This window comes from Homo sapiens, chromosome 14, assembly GCF_000001405.40.
Source record: "Homo sapiens chromosome 14, GRCh38.p14 Primary Assembly".
NCBI lineage: Eukaryota > Metazoa > Chordata > Mammalia > Primates > Hominidae > Homo > Homo sapiens.
Genome location: NC_000014.9, coordinates 29416039 through 29422831, shown reverse-complemented (window position 1 = coordinate 29422831; position 6793 = coordinate 29416039).

The window sequence follows — 6793 nt, the reverse complement described above, 5'->3', positions numbered from 1 at the left end:
CTGAATAAAAAAAGAAAGGAAGGGAAGGGAAGGAAAGGGAAGGGAGGGGAGAGGAGGGGAGGGAATGCCAGCTCATTGGTCTAGGGGTATTATTCTCGCCTTGGGTGTAAAAAGAAAGGGAGGCCAAAAATGGGGACAAAGACTATGATCTTGCAAACAATTTTCTTACAAAGTTGTGTAATTCTCTGGAGGGACAACATATGTTTTTTTCTTTTTTTTGCTTGTTATAGTAGAAACCTGTGGCTTGTCTTTATGCTTTTTTCTTAATATTTTTGAGCTCAAAAGAGCTTCTTATTCATATTTTTCTGACCCTCATTTAATGTAAAAATTATATTTAATAATATTATGTATCTCTGCTTAAATATTCTTAATTATTATAGATTAAGGTAGACAATTTGAAAATAAAAATAAAAACATGTGTCTAAGTAATTATATACATATAACAATTTCTTTAAGCACAAACATAATTAATTATACATTTATATTTTATATATGTATATATTTATACCTATATATTTTATATAAAATTTATACTTAGATATGAAGTTGCCCACATTAATATGTACATATATTTACTTAACTGTTAATTTAGACATTTTATAACTAATTATAAAAAGTTATAAAATATATTTATGCACTAAAAGTTTTATTTAGTTTCTGAAATCATCAGATTTTTTTCTCCTCTAAATCCTAAAGAACCCCTTCAAATGTTATAAACCATGCACAGCTGAAATTATGAGGGACCCAACCAACATTAGGCATCATGGAATTTATCCAAAATAAAGGACAAATTATTACACCTTACATCATCTATCAGGTAAAAGGAGGCAAAATGCTAGGTGAGCCTCACTGGAATTAGAAGTATCATAGTCTGCACATTTGAATGTTATTCTGATTTACATATTGATGTCATAAAATGCTGCTATTTGGGGCTCAGTAATAGGCTCTGCATCAGGTCTAAATTTTGGAGGCTTGCCACTTTGTCTATATGTTCTGGTAAACCCCATGGTATTAGATGTATCAGTGGTGGAAGCATGGCATATAGGTTTTATATGTCCCAAAGGACAAATCACAACACAGATGGCAAAGGTTTTAAAGCAAGGGCATCCCTTTTGCAGTGAACAATTATACACCTTGTGAAAAACAGCTACTTGTATGCTTCTGGCCATTAGTAGAGAAGATGCCCTACCTGGTTGGTGGACTGAAGAGGACAGAACTGGCCATCTAAGAAAGCCTGACTTGTCAGCATTGTCTATTCCAGAGGACATTGCCTTGCACTTGACTCTTTCACCACTAGTCTGTTAACAAAGACAAATCTTGAAAAAATAATTTTGAATATGCTAAGTTGAACCATATGAAAATTGTGGGGATTTTTGCAGATAAAAATAATATCCCTAATTTCATATATTTCAAACTAGCAGAGAAAGATTAACTGACATTTATTCAGTGCCTAGCATATGCCTAAGATATGATGCCTTCCTCTTTCCCTCCTTCCTTTCCTTTCTCCCCTTCCTCCCTCCCCCCATGTCTCCCTCTTTCTCTTTCTTTCTTCCTTCCTTCTTTACAATATATTTTTCATCTGTTGTATGGTTTGAAACTTTTATTCCTTTTGAGCTACTAAATGCATTTGTATTTTTGCAGCATATACTGTCTTGTATTTTGCAATTATGGTTCATAGTTATGATTTTAAAATTGCATGAAAATCATAACCATCTCAGTTTTAAATGGCCAGCTTACACATTGATACAAAAACTTCTTTTAAGAAGTCCCCCAAATATATGAGGCACACATCAATAAATATATTATTAGAAACATGAAGGCAATAAAAGCAAATGCTAAGGAATTAGTAAATAAAGTTTCCCCGGGTTGAGTACAATTCTAGCCAACAGCACACATTAATGGTTTAGTTGAAAGCATGCCTGACTTTTGGTTCATTCTTTCTTTTTATTGTTAAGGTATCCTAAAGACAAAATAACACCTCTCATACCTAGAATTACCACCAACTAAAATTTTGCACTGCTAAAAATGCACAGAATTGCGGGGGAACTGCCCTTGTCATCTGTTAAGTTATACAAGCACGTATGCTGCTGAGAGTTAAGAAACATCTCTCTTCAAAAGAGAAGGACAAGCTCCAGTACAGGGAAAACCAAACTGTACTATTTTTTTCCCCCTCACAAATGGTACAATAAGGTTAGCCCAGTGATTTTTTATTTAACATAGTTGGACACATTATTAATATTAAGAGGCTTCTTATTCTACTTTATTTGCTATAATAATTGCAGAAATAACTGCAACTAATAAAAAATTCCAAAATATCCATTAAGGAATTTATCATAGATGTAGGCTTTTCATTTCTTGTTTTTAAAATAAGACCTTAACAGGAAGAATTATATAAGTATGAAGAAAAGGACATTAAAAAGCAGGTAGTCCAAGTTCTTTTATTTTTCAGATGAGAAAACTGGTCCAGAGAAGGGGACTTGATGATGCCAGTGACAGAACCAGGATGATAACTCGCATCTCCTGATTCTCTTGCGCTTTATTTCATCACACATATGAAAGAAGATGAGAAACGTTCAGCATTCAGTAGTGGGGACCACTTTGAGATTAGTTTGTCAATTGCCATATAAGTATGCTTTTGCTTGGTATATCTGTGTAAAGCAATATGTACTCTATGTACTAAAGGTACATGATAATTGTGACTTGAGGACAATACAAAGACTGACTGGTTTGTGATTAAACATTTCACATAGTAGTAGGTGCTTGGATATTATTATCTTTAAAACAAATGTAAAACTGATTTCAAACTAAAGCATGAGTATTTTAACAAATATATCAAATATCAGAGAGGAAGGAGGAAGGATTTTAGAACAATGAACCTGGAAAATGTGATTATTTTTGACATGTTTTCACATTCCTACAATACAAGTCACTTGATAAAAATGACCTAAAAAGTTTTTCTTTTTTTTTCTGTGCCATCTTCTCAGCTCCCAACCATGTCATTTTAACTAACAGAACTGCAGCCTATTTGTACTTTTTTCCTTCTGCATCAGTTTCGATTCCTTTTTATATACTTGCTTTTATCTAGGTGTCACATTCTCTCTAAATGATAGATTGTAATCTTAGCCATAGGAAAAAAAAAAGGAAACTTAGAAAATGGATGGATTTGATTTTAAGAGATGTAGGCTAGGCACGTGGCAGCTACAGAGAAGTGAGCCTCTAGTGAATGCTAGCATTATATGTGTTTTATATTAACCCTTGGTTCCAAGCATATAAAAATATTTTGTAAGAAATTTCTTCATGTATTTTGTAAAATTATTGTAAAAGTCCTTCCTCCTCAAGTCTCTGAGGATAATCCAAAATCTTTGGCAGTTTTAAGAATCAGGAATATGAATTTTATTCTCAAATACATTTCATCTCTCACTTTAATTATGTGTAAAGTGGTCATGTATTCATTTATATATATATTTATATATATAGAAAATTTACTAATGTCATATAAAGGAAATATTTAGCAATGTGAATGAGAAATGAATAAAACTTTCATAGAACCTATAGTCTAATAGAGGAGGCACGGAAGTAAAGAGACAATTATAACATAACGTGACAGACCTTAACCATAGGGGTGTAGAAATAGTGCTGGAAGGAATAAAGTTGTGGCTTCTGTAAAGCAGGGACTGCGCTGAAAACATGTTTTGGTTTTGTTAAAAAGAGCATATCTGCTCACTGAGTTGAAGTTCTGTGCATAGACAGATGATTCAAGGATCCTCATTCAATAAATCAGGAAGGCATCATGCTTTCCAGTTCTTATTGACAGTGTGTAAAATAGATTTTAAAAACAGCTGAATCTAGAGGGGGAATGCAGGGCAAATCAAATTATTTAAATGATTTCTCCACCCCAGTGAAGTTTAAAGAACCATATTTAGAAGAAGAATCTAATTTCACATGCAACTGATTAAGTTTTACATGAGTTTGAAAGGGAAATGGTTTGGGGCATGAGAGAAGTCGGGGAAAATGTCAAATTCTGCTGAACCAGATTTCCCAGTGTGGTTTTATTTTCAGTTTGTAATGGAGTTTCAGAGTCTCACACTCACGTTTTAGGTATAACTGTTAACACAGAAACCTATTTAATAGTTATATAAAATATTCTTAATAGTATTAACAATGCAGTTTCTTCATTATTTGAGCAGATGATTGAGAGGTGATTGTTTTGCAATGAGAATCTTCCATAGAATACAATCAGTACCAGTTATTGAGACCTGTGTCAGGCACTGTTCTACCTGCCTTATATGTGTTCATTCATTTAGCTTTATAACATCCATAAAAAGTACAGGAAAATATTATCTCTATTTTATGGATACAAAAAGTTAGGTCAGAGAAAGTGCTTTCCCAATGTCACACACCTATTAAGTGGTGAAAATGTGATGATCTCTTTAAGGAGTCACTTTTCAATCTCAAATTCAGGAATTTAAATTTTGTATTCAAGCTTCCACAGATCTATTTTTAACAATAGGCCTAGATGTTCAGAGAATATTTTAAAATTTTTATGTTTTCTGGATACACTTTATATTAGGAAACTTTGGATTTAATTATCTGAGATGATGTAACCCCACTTTAAAATTTGATTTTATTCAACCAACAGGAATAGCAAGGAGACATGTACTATCAGACATATAATGAAAATAATCATTAGAAGGAAAATTGACATATACTATTTTTAAATAACTCACATTTATTTAGTGTATTACAGTTTACAAAGCACAAATATCTGTCTGTGTTAATCTTACACTTCTTCTTGCTACCATATTTTAATTTGTACCAACATCTTGCTTTATGTATTCTTTTACTTTCTCTCCATGTATTTCCACCAGTTACTCTTTTCTCTATTTTTATTTCTTAGAATATTTTGGTGAAAATTTAGCTCAAAAGTTCTAAATGAGTAAGGTCTTTTTTTCCCATATGCTAATCTTGGGGACTAGTCTTCATTCTGGATCACCGTTATTGATCCACACAGTGGTTTAAGTTTCTTTCTGAGCCTGGGATGGAGACAGGTAGGAAGGCAGAATGAAGTTCTATACACACAGAAGCTTACTGCCTTGGTTGCTACAGACTAACACTCTGCCTATGTTCTTTGTCCCATGTCCCTAGCTTCTAGGGATAGTGCTCTGAAGTGCCCTCAAAGTAATTTTGTTTTAAATCCTATCCTTTCTCCACGTGCCACACAACATTCTGATGTCACTTCTGTTTCCTCACAACAGCAGAGTTGTGACAAGTGTGTATTTGACAATCAAGTGAGACAAGCCCATAAGAGAACTCATTAAGATTTTATCCTGATAATCAGACCTAGAATCTTATTTAAGGGGAAATCAAAAACAACAACAACACACCTATCACATAAGAATCTTAGATCAAAATCATCCAAAATGTCTTCAAATGAGCCACTTATATCCCCAACTTTTTGTTTCGTCGTGTAGATCTTGGTGGGGTATACATATGCACTATGATAGAAAAAATAAGACCTAGTGTTTGATAAATTCGTAGGGTATTATGATTTACAATAATCCATTGTATAGCTCAAAATAACTAGAAGAGAATAATTTGAATGTTTGTAGTGTAAAGACAAATATTTAAGGTGACAGATATCCCAATTATACAAATTTGATCTTTACAAATTGTATGCATATATTGTTATCACATGTATCCTGAAATTATGTACATCTATTATGTATCAGTAAAAAAGAATCAGTTGTGATTTGATCAAGAGGACTAATCTCTTGGGGATTGGAGCATGGGAGGAGGGAGAAGATGGAGTATTTCTATCCCTCCTCTGAATCAGGTTTGCTGCAGTTCCCACAATAATTGTGTTCCTCCATAGCTTTCACTTTCTCTGCCCTATGGTAACACTCTTCCTTCCCTTCAGCCCTGCAACCCAAGGAGGCTAATGGTTTCCCATTCTTGTCAACACCGATGTGTCTCAGACCCTCAGTTGGTTCCATTAATCCTGTCCATACTTATGTTAAATATCTCTTCATTAAATTCTCAGAATTTCAGCTGAGTGTGTCATCTGTTTCCTTCTGGCATCCTCACTGATGTACACCTATTTTAAAACCCTGAATTTCCCTAGTAAGTATCCTAGAGCTAAAGCCTCAGTGAGAACCTGGCTGAGCAGGCAGGTTGCTCAGCCAGGTTCTCTGAGCACCTGGCTGGAGCCAGGCAACATTTGAAGCAAGTACTGCCTAAGCACATTACAATGATGGACAACCTCACAGCCTGGGATGTAGGACATGTCTTCACTGTATTCAGTTCATTCTATATTATTGTTATTTATATGATGCCCCTCTTAGGACCAGATCCTGTATCAATTTATTTTTTTGTTTTTATTTTGTAAGTGGCAGAAAACACTAACTTAAAAAGGCCTAAATCTTAAAGAAGATGCATTATCTTCTGTAATATAAATCCAAAAGCAGGAAAGACTTAGTCAAAATTTTATTAGGGCAAAAATTCTGTTATTTTTGTATCTTCCCTCTTCAGTTGTCATGCTTACTTCATTCTCAGGGTGGCTTCCCTCAGGGTTCCAACATGGTTGCCAAGGGCAAACAGGACTACAAGCTTCTTGATTTACACTGGGAAATAGCCCTTGGCCCCTCACAACGATCATACTCATATCCTTGGCTTTACGGTGTATGACTAACAGCAACAATAATTATTTTTAAAAATTAGGTAGGAGACAAAGATCTCATGTGACTTGGTATAAAAATATATAAATTCTGGATATTTGAATATAAGAGGGATGTTT